The 13,728-nt window shown below is 41.2% G+C and overlaps 1 long non-coding RNA gene across 2 annotated transcripts in view; it reads right to left on the bottom strand.

Moving 5' to 3' along the window:
- LOC105378515 (uncharacterized) overlaps window positions 1-13,728 on the bottom strand; it is a 164,918-nt gene that overhangs the window by 141,971 nt on the left and 9,219 nt on the right. The window contains exons 3-4 of one of the 2 annotated variants that reach the window (XR_001747606.1): window positions 9,444-9,734; window positions 8,389-8,449 (exon numbers count right to left, since the gene is read on the bottom strand). This is a non-coding gene — a long non-coding RNA (uncharacterized LOC105378515). The remainder of the gene's footprint in view (window positions 1-8,388; window positions 8,450-9,443; window positions 9,735-13,728) is intronic. The other variant, XR_001747605.1, reaches the window with a different exon arrangement.

The raw sequence follows: 13,728 nt of genomic DNA, 5'->3' as shown, positions 1-13,728 counted from the left end.
TGCCTATATGCACCATCAGGGGGCCTGAGGATAGGCCCACACCACCTAATGCCACCCTCCCCCAGTGTCCAAGTGCATCATCTGGGGCTCTGGAGATTACCCTGCCTCATCCACCACTGATGGCACCTGTGTACTCCTCCTGCAGGCCTACAAAGATTGAACCAGAAAGAAATGGAAAACCTGAATGTCATAAAAATTCTCCCAACAAAATGAAGTCCAGGAACAGATGACTACTGCCAAGTTCCACCAAACTTAAAAAGAAGAACTAACATTAATTCTTCTCAAATTATTCCAGAAAATGGAAGAGTAGGGAATTATTCTCTACTCATTCTATAAGCCCAACATTACCCTGATACCAAAACCAGACAAGGACAAAACAAAAAAAGAAAACTACAGACCAACATCTCTGATGAACACAAATGCAAATATCCTCAACAAAATGCTAGCAAGCCAAATTCAGCAAGACTTTAAAAAGATAATACATCATGATCAAGTGAGACTTATTCCAGGCATGAAAGAATGGTTCAACGTATGCAAATCAATAAGCAGGATACATTACATCAACAGAACGAAGGACGAAAACCATGTAATCATCTCAATAGATGCACAAAAAGCATTTCATAAAATTCAACATTCATTCATGGTGAAAACTTGCAACCAATTAGGAACAGAAGGAACATACCTCAACATAATAAAGGTAATATATGAAAAACCCACAGCTGACATAATACTGAATGGGGAAAAGCTGAAAGCCTTTCCTCTAGAATTAGAATAAGATAAGGATGCCCATTTTTACCACTCCTATTCGACATAGTACTGGACATCCTAGCCAGAGTAATTAGGCAACAGAAAGAAAGAAATAGCAAACAAATTAGAAAAGAAGTCAAATTTTCCCTCTTTGTAGATGACATGATCTTATATTTAAAAAAACCTGAAGACTCCATAAAAAAATAAATAAATAAACATACAAAAGTCAGTTGCCTTTCTCTTTTTTCCTTTTTTTTTCTTTTTTTTTTTTTTTTTTTTTTTTTGAGATGGAGTCTCGCCCTGTCACCCAGGCTTGGGTACAATGGCATGATCTCGGCTCACTGCAAACTCCGCCTCTCAGGTTCAAACAATTCTCCTGCCTCGGCCTCCCAAGTAGCTGGGATTACAGGCACCCACCACTACGCCCAGCTAATTTTTGTATTTTTAGTAGTGACGGGGTTTCGCCATGTTGGCCAGACTGGTCTCGAACTCCTGACATAGTGATCTGCCCGCCTCGGCCTCCCAACGTGCTGGGATTACAGGCATGAGCCACCATGCCCAGCCAGTTGCATTTCTATATACAAACAATGAACTAACACAAGAACAGAAAACAAAACACCGCATGTTCTCACTCATAAGTGGGAGTTCAACAATGAGAACACATGGACACAGGAAGAGGAACACTACACACTGGGGCCTGTTGGGGGATGGGGGACAGGGGGAGGGATAGAATTAGGAGAAATACCTAATGTAGATGACGGGTTGATGGGTGCAGCAAACCACCATGGCATATGTATACCTATGATACAAACCTGCACATTCTGCACATATACCCCAGAATTTAAGTATAAAAAATATATATATAGAATACAAGCTTAAAAGAAAAAGAAACAAACAAAAGGTAATCCCATTTACAATAGCATAAAAACAAATAAAACACCTAGGACTAAATTTAACCAGAGAGGTGAAAGACCTCTAAATGGAAAACTACAAAACACAGCCAACTGATTTTCAACAAAGATGCCAAGAACATACACTGAGGAAAGAACACCCCTAGAATGAGTGGTACTGGGAAAACTGGATATCCATATGCAGAGAATGAAACTAGACCTCTGTGTCTCACCATATGTAAAAATTAACCCAAAATGGATAAAAGACTTAAAAGTAAAAACCTAAGTTATAAAGCTACTTGAAGAAAACATAAGGGGAACACCCTGGTCTAGGCAAAGATTTTATGGCTGAGACTTCAAAAGCACAGGCAATAAAAACAACAATAGACAAATGGGACTACGTTAAACTAAAACGCTTCCCCACAGCAAAGTAAACAATCAACAGAGAGAAGAGACAATCTGTTGAATGACAGAAAATATTTGCAAACTATTCATCCAACAAGAGACCAATATTCAGAATATATTTTTAAAAACTCAAACAATTCTACAGCATAAAAACAACCCCATTTAAAAAGTGGGCAAAGGTTCTGAATAGACATTTATCAAAAAAGATACACAAACAGCCAACGGATATATGAAAAAAATCACTAATCAGGGAAATGTAAATTAAAACAGCAATAAAATATCATCTTACCCCAGTTGGAAATAGCTATTACCAAAAAGGCAAAAAAAAAAAAAAAAACAGATGCTGATGTGGGTGCAGAAAAAAGGGAACTCTTATACAACTGTTGATGGAAATGTAAATTAGCACATCCATTATTGAAAACAGCATGGAGATTTATAAAAAAAAATAAATTACAGATAGAACTACCATATGATCCAATGATACCATGACTATTTATCCAAAGGAAAGGAAATTGGTATATCAAAGACTCCCACGTTTTTTGCAGCACTATTCACAATAGCAAAGATATGGAATCAACCTAAGTGTCCATCAACAGATGAATGAATAAAGAGAATGTGGTATATATATGCAATGGAATATTATTCAGCTATTAAAGGAAATGAAATCCTGTCATTTACAAAAACATGATGAAATTGGAGGCCATTATGTTACGTGAAATAAGCCAGGGACAGAAAGACAAACACTGTGTGTTCTCATTCATATGTGGAAACTAAAAAAGTTGATCTTATGGAAGCAAAGAGTAGAAAGATAGTTCACAGAGGCTGGGAAGAATGTACGGGTGGTTAAAGAGAGGTAGATTAATAGGTACAAACATTAAAACAAGAAATATAGAAGAAATAAGTCCTAATGTTTGATGGCACATTAGGTGACTATAGTTAATAACAATGCATTGGGTATTTCAAAATAGCTAGGAGAAAGTATTTGAAATGTTCCTAACACAAAGAAATGATAAATGCTTGAGGTGATGGATATCCTAAGTGAACTGACTTGATCATTACACATTCTGTGCACGTATCAAAATATCACATGTACCCCATAAGTATGTACAAACATTATGTATCAAAAAATAAATACAAAAGCTAGAAATAATTAAGCTTAGTGAGGAAGGCCTGTCAAAATACCAGATAAGCTGATAGCTAGGCCTGGATTGCCCCCAGATAGCTAATTCAAGCGGTGAATCCAAATGAAAAGTTCCTGCAGGAAATGAAAAGTGCCACTCCAGTGAACTCACAAATGATAAGAAAGCAAAGCAGCCTTATTGTTGATGTGAAAAAAGTTTTAGTGGTCTGGATAGATCAAACCAGCCACCACATTCTCTTAAGCCAAAGCCTAATCTAGAGGAAGGTCCTGACTTTAATTCTATGAAGGCTGAGAGAGGTAAGGAAACAGCAGAAGAAAATCTGGAAGCCAGCAGAGGTTGGTTCAAGAGGTTTAAGGAAAAAAGCCCTCTCTATAGCATAAAAGTGCAAGCTGAAGCAGCAGGTACTGATACAGAAGCTTCAATAAGTTACTCAGAAGATCTAGCTAAGATCATTGTAAAGGTGGCTACACTAAACAACAGATTTTAATTGTAGATGAAACAACCTTGGTGTGGTTTGGCTGTGTCCCCACCCAAATCTTACCTTTAACTGGTAGTTCCCATAATCCCCACATGTCATGGGAGAAACCCAGTGGGAGGTAATTGAATCATGGGGGTGGTTACCCCCATGATGTTCTCGTGATAGTGAGTTCTCACGAGATCTGATGGTTTTATAAGGGGCTTTTCACCCTTTTGCTCTGCACTTCTCCTTGCTGCTGCCATGTGAAGAAGGATGTGTTTGCTTCCCCTTCTGCCATGATTGTAAGTTTCCTGAGGCCTCCCCAGCCATGCTAAACTGTGAGTCAATTAAACCTTTTTCCTTTATAAATTACCCAGTCTTGGGTATGCCTTTATTAGCAGCATGAGAATGGACTAATACAAACCTTCTGTTGGAAGGGGATGCAATCTAGGAGTTTCATAACTAGAGAGAAGTCAGTCCCTGTCTTCAAAGTTTCAAAGAACATGCTGATTCTCTTGTTGGGGGCTAATGCAGCTCATAACTTTAAGTTGAAGCCAAAGCTCATTGGCCATTCTGAAAATCCTAGGGCTCTTAAGAATCATGCTAAATCTACTCTGCCTGTGCTCTATAAATGGAATAACAAAGCCTAGATGAAAGCATGTCTGTTAAACAGCATGGTTTACTGACTATGTGAAGCTCACTGCTAAGACCTACTGCTCAGTAAAAAAATTTTTCAAAATACTACTGCTCATTGACAGTGCACCTAGTCACCCAAGAGCTCTGATGGACATGTAAAAGGAGATGAAAGCCATTTTCATGCCTCCTAACACAACATTCATTCTACATCCCATGGATCAAGAAGAAATTTCAATTTCCAAATCTTATTATTAAAGAAATACATTTCATAAGGCTATAGATACCATAGACAGTTATTCTTCTGATGGTTCTGGGGAAAATACATTAAAAATCTTCTGGAAAGGGTTCACCATTCTAGATGTCATTAAGAACAAGCATGATTCATGGGAGGAGGTCAAAATATCAACATTAACATGAGTTTGGAAGAAGTTGATTCCAACTTTCATGGATGACTTGAAGGGGTTGAAGACTTCACTGGGGAAAGTAACTGCGGATGTGGTGGAATTAGCAAAAAGAAGTAGAATTAGAAGTGGAGCTTGAAGATGTGACTGAATTACCGTAATTTCATAATAAAACTTTAACAGCTGAGCAGTTGCTTCTTATAGATAAGTAAGGAGAGTGGTTGTTTCAGATGCCATCTACTCCTGATGAAGTTGCTGTGAATGTTGTTGAAATGACAATAAAAAATTTAGAATTTTACATCAATTTAGTTGATAAAGCAGCAGCAGGATTTGAAAAAATTGACTCCAATTTTTTTTAACAAAAAGTTATGCTGTGGGTAAAATGGTATCAAACAGCATTGCATGCTATAGAGAAATTGTTCATGAAAGAAAGAGTCAATCAATGTGGCAGACTTAATTGTTGTCTGATTTAAAGAAATTGCCTCAGCGACTCCAGTCTTCAGCAACCACCACCCTTATCACTCAGCAGCCATCAACATCAAAGCAAGACACTCCACCAGCAGAAAGATTACTACTCACTGAAGACTCAGGTGATTGTTAGCATTTTTAGCAATAAAGTATTTTTAATAAACATATGTATATGTATACATAATGCTATTATATGCTTAACAGACTACAGTATAATATAAACATACCTTATATTCACTGAGAAACAAAGAAAAAACATGCGTGACTTGCTTAGTTGCAATATTCACTTCACTGTGGTGGTCTGGAGCTGAACCCGAAATATGTCCATGGTATGCCTGTACCGGGGAGTTTCACTTCCTGGATGGCAGTGTGAGTTCTACAGACCTATTCCCCGGTGAAACAAGTATACCTGGTAAAACTGTTAAAAAAACAAACAACCATTTAAAGTCTCTGAAAACTGTCCTAAGGGCATATAGCAAATGAAGAAGCAATTTATTCAAGGAAATCTACTAAAACTCAGTAAGAACTGCAAGAGTCTGTGACTTGAACCACAACCCACCCTCTGTCTCCCATCCAGCTCAGCTCCCATCCCTCTCATCCACCCTGGGCAGCTGTGGCCAAGAAGATGGGGGTCCCTCTCCTCTCAGGTCCTAAACAAAGGGTGTAACTCACCAGGAGAAGCAGGCTGCCATCTCCAACTGAAGAGGTTAAATTCCTGGTGAGTGAAGTTAAGAAATCAGGGGCTCCCTTCTTCCATCCAACCTCCATTCATAGCACAGAGCTCTACCCCCATGCTCATCAGGCCAAGAATACTGAGGCCTCAATTGCCCTTGCCCCGGCTCAGTCAGAAGGCAGAAGTTTCACACCGATAGAGGCAAACCAAGAAGACCAAAGACTAGTGCCTCACCCACTGCCTTGAGTGGTGGCTCAGGGATTTTGCCCAGGGTGAGAAGCAGACCCCCAAAGGAAATGACTTAATTTAAAACAGAGAGAAAGTTCAGGCCTAAGGGCACTTTCAGAAACAATGGAGATTTTGGTGCCAAAAAAATAAGAGGAGGCTGATAGCTCTTCTCAATTAATAGCAGTCATCTAAACCATAGGCCAGCTAGTTCACCAGGGAGAACCAGGGAAAGAGACAGCTAAGAAGAGCCCTACTGGAGTCAGAAGAAACCTCAAACACTGACCTCAAAAACTACCTCTTGGATTAAACCACAGAGTAATCTATGCTCCAGGGCATTGTTGAAATAATATAGCAATCAGCTGGCAATTAGTGGAGCCTAATAGCTGGGTGTGATACCAAATGAGGCAGACAGTTTCTTTTTTTTTTTTTTTTTCTTTTTCTTTTTTTGGAGACAGAGTCTCTGTCGCCCAGGCTGGAGTGCAGTGGCACAATCTCGGCTCATGAGGCAGACAGTTTTACAGAGATCAGAGAAGGAGATAAAGAGAGCCCTGTAAAAACTACCTTATCTCAGGGCGATTGTGGATGTGGCCTTCACTCTGGGCCTCAATCATTTTGGTTTTCCTCTATGAATAAAGGAGGTCAATAATTAAAGTGAGTACTGCAGGGACTAAGGACAATTCTAAATTACTGCATTTGGGGAATTATGCTCAAATTAGATAACGTTTGGCAAAGCACCTTACAAACTGTAAAGTATGCCGTGTATATTGAGTAGCATTATTACTTAACAGGGCAACCAATAGAAGGTAGAAATTGAGAACATAAATTCTAGTGTGGGGCATGTGGTTCAACACCCTTCCTAACATTGAAGGTTACCTAACTTCCCTAAGATTCAGTAATCTTATCTGTGAAATAGATCATGTATCTTCCAGGGAAAGTATTTGTAAAGTCCTAAGACATTGCCTGGTATAAAGAATACTGAGGCCTCAATTGGCCTTGCCCCAGCTCAGTCAGTTGTAGCAAAATATACGGTAGTGCTAATATCCAACCATGTCCCAAACCCAAATCTGAAAATAGAAAATTGATACTAATTCATTAATTTGTTGGAGGTAAATAAGATCTATGGAAATAGACACCTGCCACTTTTTAAAAATTCAGTCATTGGTCTGTTAAATGTTACTGGTACATTTGCATATTTCCAATACTCCCAAAAAGTTTCACTTTGTAAAGGTAGTTCTAGGGTGCATCCGAAGGGTATTTGCTGATGGCGCACAGTGATGTACCTTGTAGTGCTTTAGATTGACATTAGAAAGACTTCCAACAGCTTCTCATAGGCACTAAATGATGATTCTTTTGTCCTTCAACTTCTCTTTAATACAGATCAGGTGAACATTATTTAGCTGGAGCCGTGTTGCTTCTGGCAGAAACACTGAGTGACCTTTTTGCGTTTATACCTTAGGTTGGTCCCTGCCTGGCCACTTTGTTCTCTAGATGAAAAGGTGACTCAATTTCCATAGAAGAAATGGTTTGATGGTTTCAGCCCATGCAAGAGGAAAGCAACGTAGCTTACTCTTTTTTAAGCAAGCTGCCGTAGGAGTTTTCTTTGCAGACTCTAAAATGGAATTAATGTCTGAGTGTTGGCCTTTACTAGATATTTTGTAGATAATAAATCATCCCCGAACACCCATATTTAGTGAGATATACCACATTCTGTGTATGCATTAATTCTTTACCTACTGAATTATCTTTACCTACTGAAAATATCCCCAGTAAAGTAATGCTTCATTCTTTTTTACATCCCCAAGTACAAATGACTTTTTTTGCTGCATGTTGGCGGGTGGAGTGGATCCGACTTTTGTTATGAAACAGTTTCTTCAGTTCTTGTTGTTAAGTAGCTTTTCCCAAGAAATATATGAAGTTCACTAGACTATAGAGTACATTTATTCCCTCATGGTTTCCATTTTTTAAGCATGCATATCACTGGCCTATGCTCTTTTAGCTAAAAGTGAGGTCTCTGGGCCATTGCTCTGGCCGAAGTCTGCCATCAGGCACCTCTCCAACCCCACCTCCATGCTCACACTCAGGCCTCCATCATCTCAACCCCACTTCCATGCTCACACTCAGGCCTCCATCATCTCTCACCCCCACCTCCATGCTCACACTCAGGCCTCCATCATCTCAACCCCACTTCCATGCTCACACTCAGGCCTCCATCATGTCACCCCTACCTCCATGCTCACACTCAGGCCTCCATCATCTCACCCCCACCTCCATGCTCACACTCAGGCCTCCATCATGTCACCCCCACCTCCATGCTTACACTCAGGCCTCCATCATCTCTCACCTGGACTGATGCTGCAGCCTCCTCACTGATCCCCCTGCCTCCAGCCTCAGGCCTCTATAAGCTGAAAGAAGGTTCAAGGGTAGGGAAAAAGGTGAGTGCAAAGTGTTACTCCTTCCCAGTAAGTTCAAAACAAGTGAGATTCTGCAAACAATAGAGAAAGGATGACTAGGGACATGTTCAATATTCCTTCCTCCTCGTGAACCTTTAGAGTGAACAATTGTCAACAAGCAAGCTTTCATTCTGACAAAGTGGGCACCAGCAAGAGGTTATGTTTCTTTTTAGTTTAAATTTTGTGAAATGCATTTAGGACTGACATAAAGTAATGCTATCTTTCTTTACTGAGAAACTGACAGTGAACTGTACTTTTATGCCTACAGGCTAAAAGTGCTCTATTCCCACATCTGAGCCCTACTTGACAATGCTTCAAAAGCAAGTAGCTGCAGGCCAGGATGTCTATAAGGACCTACTCTTAAGCTATTAATATCCTTCAACCTTGAAAAGCCACTTGAAGCACCACTCAGGAGTGAATTTGATATTGTCTCCACCAGAAGTGGGAGGCGAAATGGCAGCTACAGTGAACATACTACTCTCTTCCAGCCCTGTCAGATTCTAACCTCTGGTGTGCTGGACCTAGCTTGTACCAGCTTGAGAGAGGTGACTTAAATTTTCAGGAACTTTGTGAGCCAGTTGTTAAACAAAGCCATTATTAAAAACTAAGTTACATAAACTTACAATGAAATAAATTGAAATAAATTATAGAAAAAAGATAATAATTATTGAAAACTCATCACTTTCTAAGTATTTTATTTCCCTTTGTAATTGTCTATACTCGAGGTTACTTGCATCTGCTATATCTCATTGGAGAAAATACCATTAATATATAATGGTGCACTACCAAGCATCTCTTCCCAACCTCATCTTCAGTACTGTCATGTTGGCAGCTTGACATATCACCCATACTGGGAGTGGCTGCACCGTAAAAATCAGAAGATAACACAAATCACAGGCCCCCATCCCCCTTCAGCAGAATAGGTTGTTAACATTTCTGAGCACACCTGTGGGTCTAACCCATCCTTAATGGTCAGGATTCCATAGAGTTGTCAAGAAGCTTCCCCTGTCTCTTCTACCATAGGGGATATAGCTCCTGGAAACAGTGATTGGTCCAGGAAAGATCATGTGATCCAAACAGGGCTAATCAGAGATCTTCGGAAAGGGGACAAATATGGATGCTGCTAGAGGAAAACTCCTTCTCCCTTTGAGATCATAAGCTGAAAGGTTCATGTTACCCTGGAGTTGCTGGAGATCTTCATGTAGAGGAAGCATGTCAGAAACCAACAAAGAAGAAACTAGAGAAAAGAAAGAGAACATTTGTGATGTCATTTGAGCACCTAGATCCACCTATACCTGAAACTGGAACCAATTCCTGGAATTTTCAGATATTTAAGAGAAAAAAAACTTTGGGGGCTTAAGAAAGTATAAGTCATGTTTCCGTCTCTTGTAACTGAGAAAGTTCTGACCTATCTACCTTTCTTGGTAGGATTCAAGTAGACCCTTGGGCTCTAATTTAGGTTGTGTACTTTTCAAAGAGTGAAAAATATTCAGCCAGCTGCCAGGAAGGAATAGGAAGAAACAGCAGAGAGCAAGGCCAGCCTCCTGCCAACTGAGTACACCCTAACAGTACAACTGTTGGCGAAAGTGCTCTGAAGATGCCTTAACGGAACCTCCATTCCCAATACCCGGGCACAGAAAACACAAAAAGTCAAACACGCCCTAATCACTAAGACCTCTGGATCCTAACCTCACCCCAAGAGGTTAAGGTTCCACAGGTCCAGGATGGAGCAAATGAATTAGTATTTCTATCAGGTTTCAGGCGATGCTGATGCAGCTGGTCCAGGGGTCACACTTTGAGAACTATAATTTGTACATTGGAAACATAGACGTAGAAGACAAAAGCTTCAAGAGCAGGAAAGAGGGGGACACTCCCCAGATCCTATTCTTCCTCCCCTGGAAATGGTTCAGTACACAGAGTGGGCCCCCAGGGGTCGTATTTATACCACTTGACTCTGCCTCTTGTTCAGCACTGATTGAGGTCGAGCCAACTTAATGGTTTTTCCCAAGAATTTGAAACTTAGAAAGGAGAGAGACAGACTGGATGCCATCGTAGCTGACTCTCAAAGGTGGCAACCTAGAAAGTTGATCCAGAAGGCCTGCTGCAGAGGCATCCATGTGTGTTCAAAATAGAAGCTCTGAAGTCAGCCTGCCTGGGTTCTAACCTCTCTGCCCCAAGTAGCTCAATGGCAAAATGGGGATGATAAAAACGATAATGACTTCATGGGGTTGCTGTGAAAGTAGATCAGATGACATTTTTGGCCCAGAGCCTGACATGTAGAAGTGTTCAGTAAATGTTAGCTGCTATTACTGTAATTGTTGTCCTTGTTCCATCCTAGAGCTGACCTGGCTCCAGCTCCTCCCTCAATTCCATGAGCTTTCACAGTAGCCTTCCAGTATATTCCCTTCTCTTAAGTTACCCAGAGTCAGTTCCTATGGTTTTCAATCAAAGGAACTTAAGTAAAATACAATTATGTAGGAAAGCTGCAGACACGGCTACCCTGTTACAGCATCATGCATCACCAGGTACAAACCAGCCCAGGAAATCTCTTCATCCTTGTTCATGTAGCCTGCTCTTCATCCAACAAGCATTGATTGAGTAGCTCTTATATGACAGGCATTGCACCGGGCCTAAAGGGAAAAACATAATCCCTGCACTGAACAAGTTTCCAGCCTGGGAAGAAATCCAGACTTGCACACAGTGAAATGAGGTGCAAGGTGAGAAGCAGAGTTGACCACTAGGAAGACAGCTAACAAAAGTACAATATTCCTGCCTCCCCTGTGGGCGACTGGAGCTTAATGCTGCAGGGGAGGCTTGGGGAGCCAGTATAACACTCACACATCAGAGGTCCCCTGCCAAGAGGCAATGGAGCCAGGGCCTGGCTGCATAAATGCTTCTCTGTGGCTGGGTGAGGGTAGCTCCCAAGGGGCATCCATTTCCCCACATTCTCTGCCTACTGTAGGGGAGGAAGAGCGCGCTCCAGGGGCAAGAGAAGGTGCCAATACCAAGAACCCAGGCCCTGGCAGTGAGAAGACAGGCCTTCGGCACTAGAGTGGCAAGCCCCAGGGACACAGGCAGGGCACCAGCAGCACCTGCCACCGCACAGCGTTGGGCAAGAGGAAGGAAAAAGTGGAAGCAGCAGCTCAGAGAGGTAAAAGTCACTATCCCTGGGGGTAGAACTGAGCGGCTCCAGGGAAGACTGCTCATTTTCCTGACCTTGCTATTGGAGTTTTAAAAATTATGTGCCTTGATTTGTAAAAGTTATTTTATAAAGAAATAAAAAGAGACCATTACTCCTCCCAACCTCCACTGTTGGGTGACTCAGCAGTTCTGGAGTGGGATACAGACACTACTAGTGATTGCCACGTACATGGTAGGAGCAAAGGACGAGGATTTATTAATAATAACAATAGTTGAGTACCTATTTTAATGTGAGTTGGGAAAAAACATAACTGGCACATAAAATCTTTCATTGTGTGGTATTGCTTGGGATGACATTACATTTTTAATTAAGTAAATAATAGCTCATGTAGTTTGGAAATACAACAAAAATTGTAGAGGTGGTGTTCAGGTGACTAGAGCCTAAGAGAACATTGCCTGGGCTAATAAGCCTGCCAGAACTATCACTTTCAAGTATGGCAAGTTAAATGGAACTTGAAGGAAATAGGCATTTTAACCTCAAATGGGAGTGGGCATTTAATTGAGGGCAGAAGGAACATCTGGCCTTTTCCAGTTGGCTTGGACACCCCACCGCCACTTTCGACACAACTCTCCACCCTCTTACTTGACCCCTAAAACTCCAAACAACTATACCAGTAAGATAGACGGAGAAGGGGCATAGCACAGGAAGAGATGGCTGTTTGAAGGAGGGGTCCACCTTTCTGCAACCTGGTTGTCTCTCTCAAGCCTGGTTTTCCCTCATCACCTGAGAAAGGGTGATATCATGGAATGAAGGGAGCATGGACTTGAAGACCAGGCAGAGCTGGATTCAAATTGGTACCGGAGCTTCCTGGAGAGCTGGGCAGGTCACTGTCCTCTGAGACTCAGTTTCCTCATCAGCAAAAATGGCATATACTTGATATGATGTGATGAGAATGGTACTTTATCTCTGTGTCTTTCTCTCAAAAACCCATCACCCAAGTCTAATCATGAGGAAGATGTCAAACAATATCTCCAATTAAGGGACAATCTACAGATACTTGAACAGTACTCCTCAAAGCTGTCAAAGTCATCAAAGACAAGGAAAGTACAAGAAACCATCATAGCTGAGAGGCACCTAAAGAGACATGTCAGCCAAATGGAATGTGGGATCCTGAATAGGATCCTGGAACGGAAAATAAGACTATTAGGCTAAAAACTAAAGAAGTTTTGAATACAGTGTGGACTTTGGTCAATAATATTATGTCAATATTGATTTATTCTTTGTACAAATATACCATACTCATGTAAGATGTTAACTAGAGGGCCATCTGGCTATGGGGTAGATGGCAACTCTCTGTACTATCTTTGCAATTTTTCTACAAACCTAAAATTGCTCTCAATTTAAAAGTCTATGTAAAAAAATGGAGACACACTCTCCTCCTTCCCAGGATTGTTAGAGGGCTCAACATGATGCTATATGGAAAGTGACATACAGAGGCTCCCAATAAATGATAGGTTTCTTTTACCTTTTGAAAGCAAAATCAAATTACAAGATGTCACTATATACATCATTCCACACCCCAGTGCCCAAACCAGCTGACAATCTCATTCGGTGGCACTCCAGGGCAACTCTCAGACACAGATCAGAATGCCCACGAAGACCTAAGGCCAGTAAGATTCCAGACCACAGCCACACATTATTGACAGGAAGGATGAGCTTCTCATTCTTTTAAATGCAATGGAGAGCTTGATTAGAGGCGAGTCCACGCTCTGAGAAGGGCTGCCAAGCTGTGACACTTCCGTCCCTGCCTATGCGGGGCCTGTTAGGACAGGCCAGCTGATATGAAATGAAATGTGTCTTCACACAGATTTGCTACCAAGCAGGGAGAAAGTAGAGAGAAGCCCTTCCTGTCACCCCACCTCCCATGATATCAAGGTTAAATGAATGCTTCTGAATGACAGAAAGAGTGCCCAGGGTCCCCCAGCAAAAAGCATTGATTACAGGCTCTAGGACTCTCTATTGAGTTTTTCAGTCTGAATTGAGCTCAGAGCCACTTTGGAGAAAGAAAGAAATTATCAGCTGATTACAC

This window comes from Homo sapiens, chromosome 10 (assembly GCF_000001405.40).
Source record: "Homo sapiens chromosome 10, GRCh38.p14 Primary Assembly".
Lineage (NCBI taxonomy): Eukaryota > Metazoa > Chordata > Mammalia > Primates > Hominidae > Homo > Homo sapiens.
The sequence above is the reverse complement of the archived record's forward strand: the minus strand, read 5'-3'. Positions and strand labels throughout refer to the sequence as shown.